General features: G+C 41.9%; 1 protein-coding gene across 2 annotated transcripts in view; it reads right to left on the bottom strand.

Annotated features, from left to right (window-relative positions):
• The window catches only part of FIG4 (FIG4 phosphoinositide 5-phosphatase), a 134,131-nt gene continuing 130,656 nt past the window's right edge, over positions 17,433-20,907 (bottom strand). For both annotated transcript variants that reach the window (NM_014845.6, XM_011536281.4), the window contains exon 23: positions 17,433-17,771. In NM_014845.6, coding sequence (NP_055660.1) covers positions 17,594-17,771 — 178 coding nt within the window. In that variant the 3' untranslated portion in view covers positions 17,433-17,593. The remainder of the gene's footprint in view (positions 17,772-20,907) is intronic.

The raw sequence follows: 20,907 nt of genomic DNA, 5'->3' as shown, positions 1-20,907 counted from the left end.
GAAAAGCCCTTCTAGACATTGGCTTAGGCAAAGACTTCATGACCAAGAACCCTAAAGCAAATGCAACAAAAACAAAGATAAACACATGGGACTTAATTAAACTAAGAAACTTCTGTACAGCAAAAGAAACAATCAGCAGAGTTAACAGATAATCCACAGAGTGGGAGAAAATCTTCACAATCTATATATCCAATGGAGGACTAATAACCAGAATCTACAAAGAACTCAAACAAATCAACAAGAAAAAAACAATCCCATCAAAAAGTGGGCTAAGGACATGAATAGACAATTCTCTTCCTGTATACTTTAAGTCATTTCTATATTACTTATAATATTTAAAACAATGTAAATGCTATATAAACAGTTGTTATAGTGTACCGTTTAGGGAATAATGATGGGAAAATATGCTCATGTTCAGTACGCACGCAATTTTTTTTCTGAATATTTTCAATCCATGGTTGGTCTAACTTATGGATGTGGAATCCATGGATAAAGAGGGCTGATTGTGTGTGTGTGTGTGTGTGTGTGTGTGTGTGTGTGTGTACAGATACTCCTCCACTTACGCTGGGGTTATGTTCTGATAAACCCATCATAAGTTGAAATATTAACTCAAAAACATCATAAGTCAAAACATATTTAATACATCCAACCTACCAAACATCATAGCTTAGCCTAGCCTACCTTAAACATGCTCAAAACACTGCCATTAGCCTAGCATTGAGCAAAACCATCTGGCAATGCAGTACACTGTAGAGTATCCATTGCTTACCCTCATGATAGTGTGGCTGACTGGGAGTTCAGCTCACTGCCGCCGCCCAGAATTGCAAGAGACTATTGGACTACCTACCACTAGCCCAGGAAAAAAAACCAAAATTTAAAATTCAAAGTACAGTTTCTACTTTTACATCATTGTAAAGTCAAAAGTTGTAAGTGGAACTACCACAAGTTTGGGAATGGTGAGTGTGTGTGTGCGTGTGTATATACATGTATATATATATATATATATATATGTATGTATGTATGTATGTATGTATGTATGTATTTCTGTTTCTCTGGAGAATACTGACTAATACAATAATGCTTACCATTATGAAGCTTAAGTGCCCTTTTCTTGCCTGTCTTTTTCACCAGGCTGTAAACTCTTTGAAAAAATGAGCTGTCTTGCTTGCCAGTGTGTTTTCAATCTCTAGCAAAGAGCCTAGTAATAGTAGATATTCAGGTCTAATCCTGTAATTGTCGTACTTTGCCATGTATCAGGGCTGCCTTTTCTTTTTGGTAGCTGGCAGACACATGTGGGGAGACCCAGTCCCTGCCTAACTCTCCAGCCTCTGTAGGCTTGCATCTGGCCTAGCACATAGAAAATACACACACACACACACACACACACACACACACACACACACACACACGAAGTCTATTGAATGAATTAGCTGAAAGCATACTTAAGCCAAGGTGTAAATGGATGCATTCATAATAGTTAAGCAGCCGTCTTCTCACAGACTTGGGGGGCATCAGTTGGAGGAGAATGGGGACCTCTTGAGATGGGAAGAGTGACATAGAAGCCTGGTGGTTGTGTGGTGGAGGATGGGAAGGGTCAGAGCTCAGAGGATGGGGTTGTGGGACCAGCAAGTCAAAGCAAGAGGGAGAGAAGAAATCCAGACAGAAAGCTTTGGGCTCTTAAAGCGCTGGCAGTGTTCATCTCTGGAAGTGTCGAGATTTGTAGCTCACTCCTAAGGCTGAAGAGGGCTCTAGGTTTGTCTAATTCTCAGGCAAGTTGCTTGTTAGTGATGCTTCCACCAGCCAAATATGGGCACCGGGGCTCCGGATTCCTTTTGTTTTCTTTGCTTTGTGGTCTCTGCGATAGAGGGTCAGCCCAGCAATGCCCACCACATAACAGCTGGACAGAGCTCCCCATTCTAAGTGTGCTCCTGAAAATACTACTTTTTTTTTTTTTTGGAGATGGAGTCTTGCTCTGTCACCAGGCTGGAATGCAGTGGTGCAATCTCAGCTCACTGCAACCTCTGACTCCCTGGTTCAAGTGATTCTCCTGCCTCAGCCTCCCAAGTAGCTGGGATTACAGGCGCATGCCACCATGTCTAGCTAATTTTTGTATTTTTAGTAGAGATGGGGTTTCACCATGTTGGTCAGGCTGGTCTCGAACTCCTAACCTCGTGAGCTACCCACCTTGGCCTCCCAAAGTACTGAGATTACAGGTGTGAGCCACCGTGCCTAGCCCAATGCTACTTTTTAAAAGAGGAAGTCCATCCTACTGTATATTCCTCCACAGGAAATATTTGCCCCATTATAGGTTTGTTTATATTTTTATTTTCAATAGACAAATAATAATTATATATATTTATGGGATACAATGTAATGATTTCATAAATGTTTACAACATACTATTTCATAAACATATTTGTCAAAAAAAAGAAGAGCTAAAATTGCTGGCTGCAGGAGTTCCAACCAGAGATCTTTTTCATGTTCAAGAATGCACACCTGTGTTTTTCAAATAGGTAGGTACTTTTTTCAAAGTTAGTTAAAAAGTAACCTACCTATTTGAAATAATTTATAATATTTAAGTTATTTAATATTTATAAATTATTTTTAAAATGAAAATAAATATTTATTAAATTATTGAATTAATATTAATATTTAGTAATTCCAAAATAGTATGCATAATTATATGTAAATTCACTGCTTCATGGGTTTCATTAAAAACTCATTACCAATCACCTCTCATCAGCCTCCCTTCCCCCATGTCTTTTCACCCCAGCAGTGGACAAAAGGGGGCAGAATTTGCTTCTTCCCCATCTAGACTTGCCTTTACCAGGTGGTCCACCTGCAAGGCACTGATTCCAGATAACAAGTCCTGGAGGTGACTAGACCCCATGCCTCGGACCCCTTTGCTGTTCCTGATTCATATAGAACCCTCCCTGGCTACCCAGACTTGGCTGGAGACTCTCACCTCTGTATTTAAAGAAGGCCCTTCACAGGCCAGACGCAGTGGCTCACGCCTGTAATCTCAGCACTTTGGGAGGCCAAGGCAGGCAGATCACTTGAGGTCAGGAGTTTGAGACCAGCCTGGCCAACATAGTGAAACCCCATCTCTACTAAAAATACAAAAAAATTAGCTGGGCGTGGTGGCACGCACCTGTAATCCCAGCTACTGAGGTGGCTGAAGAGGGAGAATCTCTAGAACCCGGGAGGCAAAGGTAGTAGTAAGCTGAGATCGTGCCACTGCACTCCAGCCTGGGGGACAGAGCAAGATCCTATCTCAAAAAACAAAAACAACAACAAAAAACTGAGTTGACATGTATTAAATGGGATAGTCACAGATCCAGAGCCATGTACAACCCCGATTCTACTCCATGTAGGGGCCTTGAGGAGTGTATCTGGCAGACAGGGCTGCTCTGGCCCCCATAACAATGAGCAGCCATCAGACAGTGCCAGCCACCATTTCCCTGCTCCTTCTAGTGCAGAGCTGGGCCTGAAACTGAGTTTTGAGGTTTGCAGCTCAGTGTGCCTGGGACCCAGTAAGTACTCAATAAATGTTTGTTGTCCAGCTCAATCAGATTGCAGTTGCTAAAAGGAGAGCCTAACATATGTAATTTTTAAATGACCTTAGATTTTCACATGGGGTTTTTGTGGGCACTAGATCAGCTTATCAGCAACTGTACCAAGAGGATTTTCAAAAACAGAAATGAAATTATCTCTAAGAGTTAGGTGAAGCATACCCTGGGGTGGCACTCCTGCTCTCCTCACTGGTGTATGTGACTCAGCTTAGCTCCACATTGTAAGAATCATCACTGATCCTATTGGGTCACTCCAATTATTCAGTTACTGGGTTGCTCTGCCCCTGCTCCCAAACAAAGAAGTCCTTTTTTTTTTCTTAAATTCACGTGCACATGGCATCCCCAGGAGTTGCAATCCTGACATGTTTGCTGAGGTGAGGGGAGCATGCCTTCCATTAACCTCTTCCTAACTTCTCAGCAGAGCATCTTTTGGTGGAGAGGGCCAAGTGGTGGGCTGTGTCCTAGAGTCTGGAAAACATCTTGTCTTATCCTATCTGCATGGTTTCAGCTGAGGGAAAGTCCAGGGTCATTTTGCTCTGGGCTGCCGAGTCCAGCCACCAGGATGATGATCTCCTGTGGTCTGGAAGCTCCTGCATCAGGGGCACAGGGTCTGGAGGCTCTGGTCAAAGATTCAGGGCACCATGGGCAGGGCTGGTAGCATCCACTGTGCAGCCAGGTTATGGAGAGGCAGGGATAGTGCTGACCCACTGGCCAGTGAGAACAGCAACAGACTGTCAGGCTTCTAATCTCAGGCATTTGCCCTTAGTTCTATGTTACTCCTTGGCTTCAATGGCATAACCAGCCCTGTCACTGTGCCAGCCTTTGGAGATGTGCGTGTGTAACCCAAATACAACTGGGCCACCTCTAGAACCAGTCTCTGTATGGTGTCACATTAAAAAACCCAGCCATCCAGACCCCTCCCTCCAAACACAGCTCAGCCATGCTGAGCTGTAAACCTCAAAACTCAATTTCAGGCCCAGCTCTGCACTAGAAGGAGCAGGGAAATGGTGGCTGGCACTGTCTGACGGCTGCTCATTGCTATGGGGGCCAGAGCAGCCCTGTCTGCCAGATATACTCCTCAAGGCCCCTACATGGAGCAGAATCGGGGCTGTACATGGCCCTGGATCTGTGGCTATCCCATTTAATACATGTCAGCTCAGTTAGTTAAATTAATATAGTCAAATAAATATATTTATGTAAACAAACACAAATCCATACTCAAAAGCTAGTCAAATCCCATTTCGGACTTGGTTCTTGACCATCCTTTTCAGACAGCTCTCACTTTCATCTCACATCTCCCTCTCTCTTTACCACCACCCCCCACGGGACTCCTCTCGCCAGGATGCTCTCCCTGGCTTCTTCCCCACCAGGCCTCACTGGTCATGCACTCCATGCCCCCAACATGTGATCTTCCCATTGCATGCATCTTTCTTTCTCTAATCATTTTCCTAGTGAGAATCTGCCACCCTGCAATTATGGTAAATAAAAATTCTCCACTTTGCTATATGCAGATGCATCAAGCCACCCAACCATGTCCTCCTCCCAAAGTCAGGGTGTCTCCCATTTAGGCTGGCCTTCTCAGCCCATAAGATTGTTGGAAATCCCAGCCTTAGCAGCTTTGTGCCCTTCTTTTAGCAAATATTTTCCAGTCCAGCAAAGGGGTTGGGCCTCCTTGCACAGTTGAAAGAACCATTCTAGGCCCTGCTTCCTCGGAGATATGTCCCAGGAGTGAGGTGCATTGCAATACATGGGTACTGCTCATCACCAGGAGTTTACTGACACCTAGGGCCATGTATGAGGGTCACGGGGGCCTCTCTGAAAAGTGCCCCTCAGCCATCTTGCTTGTTAGTTCTGTGGTCAAAACTCTTCTTGACATCAGTAGCCTTCCTCGGCCTCTCACCACCTCCCCACTATGCTTCTTCTTGTCTTTGGCTCTAAACCAGAGTAGAGCTAGGTGCTGAGATATGGAAGACTGTCTAATTTTTGTAGACTTCTCAGACTTTCAGCAAAGTACACCCCAGCTGGAGAATCTCAAATGGCCTTTAGTTTTTAGGAATACTAGCATATAAAAGTGCTTGCTATTATGGGCCAGGAATAATTCTAAACTCCTTACATAAAATGTCTCATTTAATCTTCATAAAATCCAAATGGGATTCATACTATTCTAAAAGTCATATCCCAGGCCATTTAATAGAAATAGAAAATGCGGCCGACAGAGGTTGAATATTGCTTGAAGTCCCTTGTTCACCAAGTGCTGGACCAGGGACTTGAACCCACGTTCTCTCTCAATCCCTGCACTTTAACCAATTATTAGACAGGGGTCTGAGTTGACACTGACAGTTAGGGATGCAAAATGTCATCATGGCCCCACTGCTAGAGGGAGGGCTCACAGGGGCCAGGTAATAAATGGAGTCCAGGCCACAGTCCAGCACACCATGGGCCCCTTGGGCCTGTGTGGTCATTTTCTCCAGACTTGAGTGTATAGTTGGAACTGATACACCGCAGTTAAGAGTAACTTCCACATTAGATCCTTGGACTGCAGTTCAAGACCTCTCAGAGTGGGGAAGGTCAACTAGAAACTTTTGAAACTGCTCCCCTTTCCTAGGGCCAGGATTGTGAATAAAAAATTCACATCCCAGGGCAGAAGGAGATTAGTGCCACTTTTAAAGAACAAAGTAGTTTTCATAGAGCCCTAGATTGGTCCTAACCCCCAGGGTACATGAAGTTCCCCATATATAGAAATGCCCCCATATAGGGCACTTCTACTCGCAGCCAGTTCTGACCCAAGAGTAGATCCAGAAGAGTCCCTCACTGTGGCTGCCAACCTCCAGCAAGTTGATTTTGTTAAAAATAATTTTTAAAAAACTTACCCTAGTAAGGATGTAAAATAGGAGTCCTTTATATATGTAATAATTTGAGTTTCCTGAATAGACATCTACATTTTTTTAACGCAGAAGACTCTCAGAAGATTTATAGAAACATCTGATTTAATTCTATCCCCAAAGATTTCATGAGGAAAAGATAAAATGGATTTTTACACAAGTTTAATTGACCTGAAACAATGATTCAAAAGGTCATATACTTCCATTTACTAAATGTTTTCTGTGAACAAGCTGACCTGTGAATTTCTCTCTCTGAAGATACAGACAAAATTAAATGTTTTATTGAACTGAATTAAAGATGGCTTCATAATTAGGGAAGAGCAATTCATAAGGGTTCTTTTCTATCACACGTGATTTGCCAACATGTGGTATCTTTTCTCAAATTTATTTTTCAGAGTCGTTGGATTTTATTAAGGCAGAACCAAATTTAACAAAATTGTTATCCATGTATCTTGCAAAAAACCAGACCTCTGTAGCTAGTCTGGAAGTGGAGAGTTACACCGTAATTCATAATTCTCCACAATTGAGTAAATAGCAAAATTTTAAAAACATGTTAATATAATTTATAGAGGTGAGGGATGAGAAATTACTTTATGGGTACAATGTACATTATTAGGGTGATGGCTCCACTAAAGGTCCAGACTTCACCACTATGCAAGATATCCATGTAACCAAACTGTAGGTGAACCCCCGAATCTATAAACATAAGAAATATAATCTATAGATTATCTTTCTCTGCTACAAAACCTTCAAGAGTAAATAAATAAGAATAAAAATACATTGCCAAGAATTTTCAACATTGCTAATATAATTTTTATTATATTTCAATGACCAAGTCCAACAAAGTTAAGGTTCTGCACTAGTTGATTGTCTTGGATGTGATAAATAAAAGTGAATTGTATATTTACATAAATTTCTTCCCTCAAGAAAGACAAGGCATCTAGTCTGTATGCAGAACATTCCTGGGTGGTAGTAGAAAGAGGTATCCCACAGGTTGGGAAGACAGGGATTAAGAAGGTGCAGTTACATCTTCCTTGGACACCTTTTAAAATAGGAATGAGATAACATCTTTCTAAATGGATTAGACACTCAAAGGCAAGAGGATGATTGAAATCTCCTTCTGGCCCTGAGTTTCCAGAGTCACAGTGCTGCTGCAGCCATCCTCAGGGCACTCACTCAACAGCATTTCTTGAGTGCCAGCTAAGTGAGCTCTGGGCTTGGGAGATGATGTGTGTGAGTTAATCTCTGCTCTGCTCTCAAGATGCTCAGTTTTCTTGGGAGACAGACACATAAACACCACTGTTACAGAAGCGTGATAAGTGCTGTAAGATCCGAAGTGCCGTGAGCGCCCAGAGGAGAGTGTCTAACAGAGGCATTCTCTTTGAGACCCTCCATGGGTCCCAACTGTCTACAAGTTAGCACCCTGAGTCTGTAATCCCTTAGCATAGAGGCTCTCAAAACATGGCTCGTAAACCCAGGGGAATTCCTGAGACCCATGCAGGCAGTCTGCCAGGTGAGAGCTATTTGTAGAATGATACTAAAATGTTATATGCCTTTTTCATTGTGTTGACATTTGCACTAATGGTGCAAAAGCGGTGAGGGCACAGCTGCTGGCGTCAGCACCAATCAAGGCAGGGACATGAAAGCTTATTGGTAGTATAGTGTGCCTCACCACCACACACTCTCAAGAAACAACTGCTTCTTAAGTGAGAATGTCCTTGATGAAGCTAGTAAAATTCAATTTTATTAAATCTCTACCCTTGAGTATAGTCTTCTTAAATATTCTATGTGATATGATGGGAAGTATGCCAAAAGCACTTCAGTCTGCACACCCACGTGTAATGCTTGCCTTAAGGAATACTGCAACTGTTTGAGTTGCGAGCCACTAGCCACTTTTTCATGGAAGACTATTTTTACTTGAAAGAACAATTGTGAGACAAACTATAGTTATTCAGACTTGGGTATCTGGCAGACTTTTGCTTGAAAGTGAACAAAGGAAGCCTGCCTATCATTACGAGGAAAACTCTCAGTATTTGTTGCCAGTGATAAAATTTGAGCTTTTCAAACAAACATTAGAGTTTTGGAAAACTTGTATTCACCACTATGAGTTTGGCAGCTTCCCAATGCTTAAAAGCTTTTCTACAAGACGGGTTGGCTGTAAATGAATGTGTCAACATTTGGAAGATCTGCCAGGGACTCAGTGAACCAATTATTTTCCAAATTATCAATGCATGGTATTACACAGTCATGCATGGGTAGAAAAGCCAATCTAAATTCAAAATTAATCAATGGATTTTAATGTCTCACACTGAAAAGTTCATTGATAGTTTCAGATATCACAATGCAACTGACCTTTAAGAATCTATTGCTTAACTATCGCAAGGACAAAAAACCAAACACCGCATGTTCTCACTCATAGGTGGGAATTGAACAATGAGAACACATGGACACAGGAAGGGGAACTTCACACACCGGGGCTTGTTGTGGGGTGGGGGGAGGGGGGAGGGATAGCATTAGGAGATATACCTAATGTTAAATGACGAGTTAATGGGTGCAGCACACCAACATGGCACATGTATACATATGTAACTAACCTGCACGTTGTGCACATGTACCCTAAAACTTAAAGTATAATAAAAAAAAAATAAAAATAAAAAAAGAATCTATTGCGTATTGAGTTTAGTGTATTAAGAAAGAATATTCACAATTATCTAAAAACGCTATTTATTTATTTATTTTTTGAAACACAGTCTCGCTCTGTCACCAGGCTGAAGTGCAGTGGCGCAATCTCAGCTCACTGCAATCTCCGCCTCCCAGGTTCAAGCGATTCTCCTGCCTCAGTCTCCCGAGTAGCTGGGACTACAGGCACACGCTTTCACGCCCAGCTAATTTTTGTATTTTTAGTAGAGACGGGGTTTCATCATGTTGGCCAGGATGGTCTTGATCTCCTGACCTCATGAACCACCCGCCTCAGTCTCCCAAAGTGCTGGGATTACAGGCGTGAGCCACTGTGCCCAGCCAAAAGGTTATTTAAATATTCCTCCTCCTTTCTCCATCTTCATATCTGTGTAAAGATGGATTTTCTTCATGTGCTTCAACCAAAACAACATATCAAAACAGACTGAATACAGAAGAAAATGCAGGAATACAGCTGTCTTCCATTAAGCCAGATGTTAAAAAGATTTGAAAATGTAAAACAATGCCAATCTTGGTTAATCTTTTTGTTTTGGAAAAGTTATTTTTCATAAAAAATATGCTATTTGTGTTAGCATGATGAGTTTATTATCGTTCTTTTAAAATTAATAAATATTTAAAAAATCATCAGTTTCAATTTCTAAATGCGGTATACATCAATAGACAGAACCCAGGTAAACAAAAGCGCTTCAGGGGTCTTCAACAATTTTTATGTTTGTAATGGAGTTCTGAGAGCCCCATTTGAGAAACACTGAGTTAGCATATCAAGCCCTTCACAATCTCACCAGACCTATCTTCCCAGCATTATTTCCTGACCTTTCCCTTCCCATCACCACCCTCCCCTTCCACTGCCATTCCCATGTCCAGAAATACCTGATGACTTTCAGACCCCCTGTATTAGTCCGTTTTCACACTGCTGATAAAGACATACCTGAGACTGGGAAAAAAAAGAGATTTAATTGGACTTACAGTTAGACATGGCTGGGGAGGTCTCAGAATCATGGCGGGCGGGGGAGGTGAAAGGCACTTCTTACATGGCAGCAGCAAGAGAAAATGAGGAAGCAAAAGCAGAAACCCCTGATAAACCCATCAGATCTCATGAGACTTATTCACTATCACGAGAATAGCATGGAAAAGATCGGCCACTATCATTCAATTACCTCCCCTTGGGTCCCTCTCACAACATGTGGGAATTCTGGGAAATAAAAGTCAAGTTGAGATTTGGGTGGGGACACAGCCAAACCATATCATTCTACCCCTGGCTCCTCCAAATCTCATGTCCTCACATTTCAAAACCAATCATGCCTTCCCAACAGTCCCCCAAAGTCTTAACTCATTTCAGCATTAACCCAAAAGTTCAGAGTCTAAAGTCTCATCTGAGACAAGGTGAGTCCCTTCTGCCTATGAGCCTGTAAAATCAAAAGCAAGCTAGTTACTTCCTAGATACAATGGGAGTATAGGTATTGGGTAAATACAGCCGTTCCAAATGGGAGAAACTGGCTAAAAGGAAGGGGTTACAGGACCCATGCAAGTCTGAAATCCAGTGAGGCAGTCAAATTTTAAAGCTCTAAAATGATCTCCTTTGACTCCAGATCTCACATCCAGGTCATGCTGATTCAAGGGGTGGGTTCCCATGGTCTTGCCCCTGTGGCTTTGCAGGGTACAGTCTCTCTCCTGGCTACTTTCACGGGCTGGCATTGAGTGTTTGTGGCTTTTCCAGGTGCATGGTGCAAGCTGTGGGTGGATCTACCATTCTGGGGTCTGGAGGATGGTGGCCCTCTTTTCACAGCTCCATTAGGCACTGCCCCAGTAGAGACTCTGTGTGGAGGCTCTGACCCCACATTTCCCTTCCACACTGCCCTAGCAGAGGTTCTCCATGAGAGCCCTGCCCCTGCAGCAAACTTTTGCCTGGGCATCCAAGTGTTTCCATACATCTTCTGAAATCTAAGCAGAGGTTCCCAAACCTCAATTCTTGACTTCTGTGCACCCTCAGGCTCAACACCAAATGGAAGCTGCCAAGGCCTGGGGCTTCCACCCTCTGAAGCAACAGCCCAAGGTGTACATTGGCTCCTTTCAGCCATGGCTGGAGAGGCTGGGACACAGGGCACCAAGTCCATAGGCTGCACACAGCACAGGGACCCTGGGCCCAGCCCATGAAACCAATTTTTCCTCCTGGGCCTCTGGGCCTGTGATGGGAGGGGTTTCCATGAAGGTCTCTGACATGGCCTGGAGACATTTTCTCCATGGTCTTGGGGATTAACATTAGGCTCCTTGCTACTTATGCAAATTTCTGCAGCTGGCTTGAATTTCTCCCCAGAAAATGGGTTTTTCTTTTCTACCACATAGTCTGGCTGCAAATATTCCAAACTTTTATGCTCTGCTTCCCTTATAAAACTAAATGCCTTTAACAGCATCCGAGTCACCTCTTAAATGCTTTGCTGCTTAGAAATTTCTTCTGCCAGATACCTTAAATCATCTGTCTCAAGTTCAAAGTTCCACAAATCTCTAGGGCAAGGGCAAAATGCCTCCAGTCTCTTTGCTAAAACATAACAAGAGTCACCTTTGCTTCAGTTCCCAACAAGTTCCTCATCTCCATCTGAGACAACCTCAGCCTGGATTTTATTGTCCATATTGCTATCAGCATTTTGAGCAAAGTCATTCAAGTCTCTAGGAAGTTCCAAACTTTCCCACAATTTCCTGTCTTCTGAGCCCTCCAAACTGTTCCAATCTCTGCCTGTTACCCAGTTCCAAAGTCACTTCCACATTTTTGGGTATCTTTTGAGCAATGCCCCATTCTACCGGTACCAATTTACTGTATTAGGCCATTTTCACGCTGCTGATAAAGACATACCTGAGACTGGGAAGAAAAAGAGGTTTAATTGGACTTACAGCTCTACATGGCTGGGGAAGCCAGGGAATCATGGCAGGAGGCAGAAGTCACTTCTTACATGGCAGTGGCAAGAAGAAATGAGGAAGAAGCAAAAGTGGAAACCTCTGATAAACCCATCAGATCTTGTGAGACTTATTCACTATCAGGAGAATAGCATGGGAAAGACTGGCCCCCATGATTCAACTACCTCCCCCTGGGTCCCTCCCACAACTCGTGGGAATTCTGGGAGATAAGATTCAAGTTGAGATTTGGGTGGGGACACAGCCAAACCATGTCACCCCCAAATAGGCTACATTTCTTATTTCCATTGTTCTTTTGAATGCCCTCTCTACTACCCCTATGTGTCAAGTTTCTACTGGTTCTCTTAAAATCAAATTTAGTAAAATTTTCCTTCATTATCCTACAAAGTAAGTTACACCCTCCTGGGGCCCTGGGAGCTTTGTGCAGAGCTGATGATCCTAGGAAATCATTTTGTATTAGATTGTGTATTAGTCTGTTCTCATGCTGCTAATAAAGACATACCAGAGACTGGGTAATTTATAAAGAAAAAGAGGTTTAATGGACTCACAGATCCACATGGCTGGGGAGGCCTTGCAATCATGGTGGAAGGCAAAGGAGGAGCAAAGTCACATCTTACATGGCAACAGGCAAGAGAGAGAACCATGTGCAGGGGAACTCCCCTTTATAAAACCATCAGATCTTGTGGGACTTATTCACTATCACTTTCCTGACCTGCCTTCATGATTCAATTACCTCCCACTGGGTCCCTCCCACAACACATGGGAATTATGGAAGCTACAATTTGAGATTTGGGTGGGGACACAGCCAAACCTTATCACATTGTTTACACATCTGTCTTTCCTCTGTGCAGTGGGCTCCTCAGGTAAAGGAAGGGTATTCCAAAAAAGGAAGAGGAAAGAGAGAATCAGAAATTTCATCTCACTCTCCTGCCCTGACCTAATGACTCTGGGTCAAAGGGAGGGCAGATGGTTGTTGGTGTGGAAAAGGGGCAACCCCCTCAAAAAAGGGATGTGCTAGACAAGATAGGAGATATACACTTGAGCTACTAAGGGTAGCTGCCAGGCACACATAAAAACCTTCTTTCCCCAACACACTTCCAGAAATGTCTTCTTTTAACATGAGCCAAAGTTGCCCACATACAAATTTAATTATGCACCCCCTCCCCATAGGAAACCACCCAGAGAACTATCCAGCTATTGTAACCATAGGTGAGGTCAGGATACCATTGTTCCCAGAGTGCAGGATCTTTAGGATGCACCTGTGTTAGGTATTCTGCCAGCTTGGGACCAGATGGAAAATTTAATCACCAGCCCAATCATCTCTAAGACACAATGACTGGGGGTTAGGGGAGGAACAAGAGAAGAGAACTTTGTTTTCAAATTGTAATTCCCATCTTAAAAGGAAAAATGATGGTGTTAGAGGAGTGCTGGACTTATTTGCTTCTTAGCAGAAAAGAAAATGCAAGTGAAAGCATTTTCCTTGTCTCTGCAACTAACCTTGAGGCAACACCATTTGAGGTTCCTCTCTCCCATTATCCATGCCACGTTTCCCTGGCTTTTGACCAGAATCTTGGTTGCTGCCTAATTTAGCAAATCTGATTTCCTGGCCCTTCTCTTTCTCTATAAACTAAGGCAAGTGGTTTAGTTTTGTAATTTTTTTGTGAAAGAAATCTTCAACCCATGGGGGATCAATTAAGACAACAATTTTTATTTACCAGTTGGATTGCAATTACATTGGTGTTTCCTTGAATGTACTGAAGAAATGAACCCAAAAAAATTCTGTGTATGGGTAGCAAGAGTGAAATGACAGCTTACTATTCTCTATTAGCAAATGACCCTCAACTTCTGAAACGGAAAAGGGAGACTCAAAATTCTGTTAAAGAAAGCTGCTCAAGTGCAGATAGAAAAAACTGACCTATGCTAGGAGCACCTCAGAACCATGCAGTTTCTGAAATAATCCATTGTCTCTTCCAAAGGGAGGGTGATAAGTCTTGAAATAAGGAAAACAGATCATTTTTCCTTCAATAAACGATTCATTTAAGCAATACTTATCTCAACAGAACATATAAAAAATGCTAGGGGGCCAAACCAGAAAAAGAGAATGTATCTTTAAACTGATTTTAAAAGAGCAAAACATGATTTCAAGAAAAAGCATATTCAGGACATAAGAACATCTTTGCCTTCTCTGGCCACTCTAAGCAATCTCATTCTGACCAGCTAACCTCGAAGGCACGTGTGGAGGCAATCGTGAGGCACATTACTTTCCAAAAGGAGAAAATACTTCTGATTCAGCATCTGGTAAATTCTAGGAAGAAGAAAACTCAGTGAGTTGGAGAAAAAAAGCTTTACTGTGAAACATATAATAAGATACAGGACAATTTTCGACTAAAGTTGGAATCTCATTTTCAAGTGGCATCTAATTTATTCACATGTAAGTGAAGAATAAAGTCTATTTGGATTCTAAGTGGAGTCACTTTTCTATGGAGAAATGAACTTCACATAAAATAATTTCCATTTGGATCCACAAAACATAAGATTAAACTCTGAGGACAGAGCACAATCCTATGAATTCTGCCTCATGACAAATGAATGCTTTTCCATGCCAGAACCATTTGTTCAATACATGTGTCCAGTCTTCCCAACAGCATGGCAGGGAGTGTATAAGCTGGAAAAGTCCAACCAAGACGGAAGGATCTCCAGGTTTGACAAAATGATACATGACTTCCTCCGTAGTGGTGGCTAGATTTACATACTAAGTGGCTTTAAGAGACATGCCCCTCCAACCCTATCCTCCACCATCACACACACATACACACACACACACACACACACACACACACACACACGCATACCCTTAGGAAGTTCACATTGTTATTTTAATGTGAATGCTTTGCCCTTGGGTATACAACCAACAAAATTTTATTTCATGGGATCTCGCCATAATTTGCTGAGATTTCAATTTATGACCTACTGTGTCTCCAGATTCATTTAGATTGCCTTATTTAAAGAATTAAAATCTACAATGCCAAGCTGAACTAGGACATCTTCTCCTTTTTCAGTGACTAGGACATGGTGAGCATTAATATATAACCTTGTTCCGAGATGATGCTCAGGTACCAGGTTAGCAAGTGCTGGTGATTATATGTGATCAGTGATCTTTTAGTGAATATTTACGCTGTGCTAGACACCATGCCCAGTGCTTTACAGGTATCTTCTTTCTCTCAGCAACTATCTATACTAGATGAAAAAATTGAGGATTAGAGATGCTAAGTGATTGCTCAAAGACCCACAGCTACTAGTAAGTGATGGAGAGCAAAGCTCCTGCTCTTAACCATATTTGCTTCCCTTTGGGTCTACAAATAAGAGCAGTTTCTATATTTTCCATGACATATTAGCTTTTTAGTACTTTCAGATACGCATTTACTTTGTTTACATGCTCCTTGAGATCACTAACCTTTTTCTAGAGGTTAAATGTTATGTCTGGTTTGCTACCAATTTGTAAAGCCTTCCTTGTATATCCAAAGTTAAGTAATCTGAATGTCAAAAGTAATAGCTCAGATACCACCTTGTTACATCAAAATTGTGTTAACTCTGAAAAGGACATACACGGATGCCTTAAATTGAAAATATCGGGGTGTTGGTGCTGAGGACACCATCACTGTCACCAATACCAACCACTGCCATCATCAACAGCAGCTACCATTGACAGCATCATTTATGTGCCAGGAACCATGGAACCATGGCTGTATGTTTTACATGCAGAGTCTCTTAAGTGCCATAATAAGCCAGTAGAGCAGGGATTATTATCCTCATTTTACAGCTATGGAAAGTTAAGCTCAGGGAGGTTGTGAAAGAAGATCTGGATTTCAGATCTTCTCAAAGAACTTTAAGTTCATTCTTTTCCTAAGTAGGTGGACCTCTAGAAGCCATGTTAAAAATAAATTTTAAAAATGAAGATCAGTGTCTGATCTATAATTGGCACCTCTGCAGCAATTTGGGATTATTCTTTGACTTGGGAAGATTTACGTGAGATCCCACCCCCACACACAACAGCAAGCTATTGTGTTAGATATTCAACCTGCGCCAAGGCAAAATTCCTCTTACCTATTATTTTGTCATTCTCTAATCTTTACTTCATGATGGCATCAATCAAAAATATCTGTCAAATGGGGACTTAACCTTTCTTTGCAATATAAAACCTTCCATAGAATCCCAGCATGTCAGGGTTGGTGATAGCTCACAGGTCATTTTGGCTAACCAGTTTTCCTTCTCCCATTAGAAGGCTTGGCTTTCTTCTCTATATTATTTATGGGGAGGGAGAATGGGACAGTCTGTAACAAAAGTATAGACATAATGAGATCAAATCATTTGTGGTAAACTGTTAGGAAATGCAGAAAGTTGTCCACATTCATGTTTGACTATACAGAGAACAAAACACGTGCTGTGATCAGTCAACACCTGACTGAACACCAAATGTCAAAGTATGTAACGCAGCTGCATGCCACAGGAAGTCAACTGGAATAATAATTTTAACAATTTATTTTGATATAATTTTTTTTTTTGAGACGGGTTTCACTCTTGTTGCCCAGGCTGGAGTGCAATGGCCGATCTTGGCTTACCGCAACCTCCACCTCCCAGGTTCAAGCGATTCTCCTGCCTCAGCCTCCCTAGTAGCTGGGATTACAGGCATGCGCCACCACGCCCGGCTAGTTTTGTAGTTTTAGTAGAGACGAGGTTTCTCCATGTTGGTCAGGCTGGTCTTGAACTCCCGACCTCAGGTGATCCCCCCGCCTCAGCATCCCAAAGTGCTGGGATTACAGGCGTGAGCCACTGTGCCCAGCCTTGATATAATTTTATACTTACAGAAAAGCAGCACGAGTAGCTCAAAGAACTCCTGTTTACTTTTTACCTAGATTTACAAGTTATTAATATTTTGCTCCATTTGATTTATCATTCATTCTTTTTATCCTGAACCACTGGAGAACACTTTTTTGACATCTTGTCCGTTTATCCATAAATATTTCAGCATTTGTTTCCTATAAACAAGGCCTTTTAGAATAATGAAATTTCTGATCAAAATACAAAGTTAACATAGAAGCCACCAGAATAAATGTCAAAATGTTAACTACAAGGAAACAATACTTTGCTTTCACGGATAAAGATAAGAAAAATACTTTGCCTTCATTCCTCACAAGAGAGGAATTTTTTGGCCTGTTTTGCTTACTGGGATGTTCCTAGACCTTGCCATGGTGCCTGGCACACAGCAGGTGCTCAGCAGATACCTGTGAATTTCTTAATGTGATGGTGTGATAGTATATTGACCACATTTGTAAACAAAGTATTTCTAAAATAAAGCAAAGGCAACAACAGCAAATTATCTAGTCATCTTTATTAGCTATAATTTGGAATTTGCAAGTGACAGAAAAGGAGAAAGGCTTCAGACGCAAAGGACTTTTAATAAGTTACCTTTTGAAGATGAGACAAGACAGGTTCTAAGCTAATCAGACGTGTCCACCAGGTGGACCTGCGCTCTTTTCACAGGTAGCGGTTCCTGATGTACTCTCGGTACATGGAGGAGTCCTCTTTTCCTAGGGGCTGCATGATACCTTGGCTGGCCTGGATGTGGGCTTGGAAGATCTCTGTAGATTTTCTGTCTACTCTTGGGGGCTGAACTTCATAGATGTTATCTTGCGAGAAAGCCGAGATGGGTGTTCTATAAAAGATGAATAAAGAGAGGGCTGCATTAAAGAAAATATAAGGAAGGACCACAGGGAGCAGTCTCAGAAGCACTTGAGAGTCGCTGGCATTGAATAAGCAGGCTGACTTTTGACAAGCTGCTGGGATGACCTCCCCAGTCCTTGCGAGGCTGGTTCTCTTCTCTGCCTGGAGGAGAGAGCTGGACCAACACCTCTGGGAGCCTCACCTGATTGCATAGGCAGGGCACACCCCTCTCCTCTGTTTCCACATCTCTGTGTACACCCACGTCTGCACACCCATCTGTCTCCCTCACATGACTGGGAGCAACTTTAGCTAAGGCTGTATAGACTTTTTGCTCTTTTTCCTTGGCACACGCTAGGGACTCACTGGTTTTTAAGGGAAGATATAGTAGAAATCAGTGAAGCAAGGGAGAATAAGAATGCCTACCTCACATAGTTGTAAACAGGAATAAATGAGCTTATATGCATATTTACATGTATAAAGTGTTCACTTAGCGTACTGCCTGGGAGCTCAGTAAATGTGAACTGTTGTTAATAATTACAGGTACAGAATTTCTTACCGCAATTCTGAAATCCTAAAAGCTGAAACAACCAGAAGTTACCTTGCTTGCAAAATATAACCCAACTGAAACTCATTTTGTGGCACATCCTAATGAGCTGACAATAATCACCCCCACTTCCCGTGAATATTAATGTGTCTAACTATTGGACATGGCCTCCAATCACACTGGGGATGTATTAGAAGGTGTATGTACCATCCTGCTATGCTGACAATTCGGAATTCTGCGACTCATCTAGCCTCCGGCTTTTGGATGATGGCTTGTGGGTCTGTAATAGGCCACTTCCTTCCTTTCTCGGGTAATTTGAAAAGCACCCAATAATCTCTCTATTCAAAAATATCCCTCCATTCCCACCCCACTTGGGCTGCCACAGGCTTAAAATTTCCATGCACCCCGTGGGGAAGGCACTGTCTCCAGAAAGGCCTTGTTGAAATGCAGCTCCGTGTCTGACATCCTTAGCAAGAGGTAAGCCTTCAAGGGATGAGTCAACCAACAAGTCAGGTGTGATGCAGAGCATGTGTGTGTACGGAGTGTGCATGCACACGAGCATGTCCAGGAAGGTCACAAAAAGGGGACGATGGTAAGCTAACAAGGCAGTGTGAGGGGCTGGGGGGCACAATGACAACACACTCTGCTACTTGGCTCAGGGCTGGCCCTGTGAGAATGCGGGTGGTTGGCCATAACAGGGTGCCCAAGATAACACAGGGAAAGAAAATCTGGAGAATCTATTCTGCTGAGCTGAGACCTCAGCCTTGCTAGGGTGCATCTTATCAGAGGAATCAGAAATGCACCCTGGATGCCAAACTGGTTAGCTGGGACCCCTGTGGAGATTCCCTGTAGTCAGACACAGAACTGGACCTCAGACCCAGCTGGGTCTGTACTTGAAATATCAACATTTCACTGGACACTAGATAGTACGGTGACATACAAAGGAAGATGGAAGTTGTACAGTAAAACCCCCCAAAAGGGCTCTATCTTCATAGGATGTGCTACAATTAAATGTGGGTCTTTTTAATGCTCCCAGCAAACAGCCAAGATAGCTTACTGTACTTTGCTTTTATCCACAACAATGACACATCCTGAGATGACTGGAGACTACATTCAATTGCATTAAAATAACACAGAACTAGGGGTGACCAGGAGAGCAGGTTGTCTGCTCATGAGGCCCTTCAAAGGATCAGCAATAAGGAATTTCAGCTCCTCAGAGTAGGCTGGGTCTTTAAAGACTTTGATAGGAAGAGAGTCAGTGACATTTTGGTTATAGAGAGAGCATGAGGACAGCAAAATTCTTACTGTACGTGTTTCTCAAACACTGATCTGTCTTCAACCTGTCAGGGAGCCATGTCAATGACAGACCAACAAGAAAGACACTGCAGTCTGGCAAAGGTTGAGGATTTTATCGCCAAGCCTAGGCAACATCAACAGCACAAAAAAATTATTTATAGATCAAAGTATACAATGACATTAATAGATATTAAAGAAATGTATGCATTTGTTATGTCTAAGGCTGCTAAACTCTATCTTTTGTAGACTCATTTGTCATCAGATTCACTAGATTAAAAAATAATGTGTATGCATGTGTGTAGATGAGATATGGTGTATATATATATACACACACACTATATATATATAGTTATGCTTTATACCTACTTATATATGTATATGTATTCTTTAAAAACAATGCTGAAGAAAGCGATATATATATATATATATATATATATATATATATATATATACATACACACACACACATATATATACACTTCAACCATCCCCACCAAGTAATGTGCTTTAAGTGAAGCCATGTGAACTTTTATAATGGTCATTCTATTGTGCAGATATTAGAACAAAAATATAGTTAATGAGCATATGGGGTTTGGAGCCAATAAATCTAGATAACATACTGTAACCCCTATTATTTCCTAGGTAGAGCTGGAACATCTTGTCCTTAAAATGTGACTGTTTTTTTACACTGTTATATAGCAAAGATCAATGAAATACACAATAGAGATTTAGAGGCTGCTACAAGGTTGGTAAAGTTTTCAGTTGAAATACCATTATGTACACATTAATTAAATATAAAAACTAACAATATTTACCCAATATTTATCATAGAAAAACTACTGTGTTTCAGATTTACCAGTGCTTTTCACTTTTTTATTGCAAAATAAAATCGATACAGAAAATCACACAAAACAAACACATAATTATTATAAAGTGAACATCACCCAGGTAAACAAACAGAAATTCTGACAACCAACCCAAAAGCCCCTTCCAGGTGCCCCAACCCCATCACAATCCCCTACCCTGACTCATAAGTAACCTTATCCTGACTTCTATAGTAATCACTTGTTTGCACTTTTAAAAAAAGACACTGTCGTTCAAATGTGCACCCCTAGATTCTATAGTCCTGCTCATTTCAAAAGTGTGATATGCTTTTTAATCTACAGATGCTCTCATCTTTCTTTTTCTTTCTTTTTTTAAGACACAGGGTCTTCCTGTATCTCCTAGGCTGGAATACAATGGAGCGATCATGGCTCACTGCAACCTCGAACTCCTGGGCTCAGGCGAT

This window comes from Homo sapiens, chromosome 6 (assembly GCF_000001405.40).
Source record: "Homo sapiens chromosome 6, GRCh38.p14 Primary Assembly".
Lineage (NCBI taxonomy): Eukaryota > Metazoa > Chordata > Mammalia > Primates > Hominidae > Homo > Homo sapiens.
Note: the sequence above shows the minus strand (reverse complement) of the source record. Positions and strands in the feature narration are given on the sequence as shown.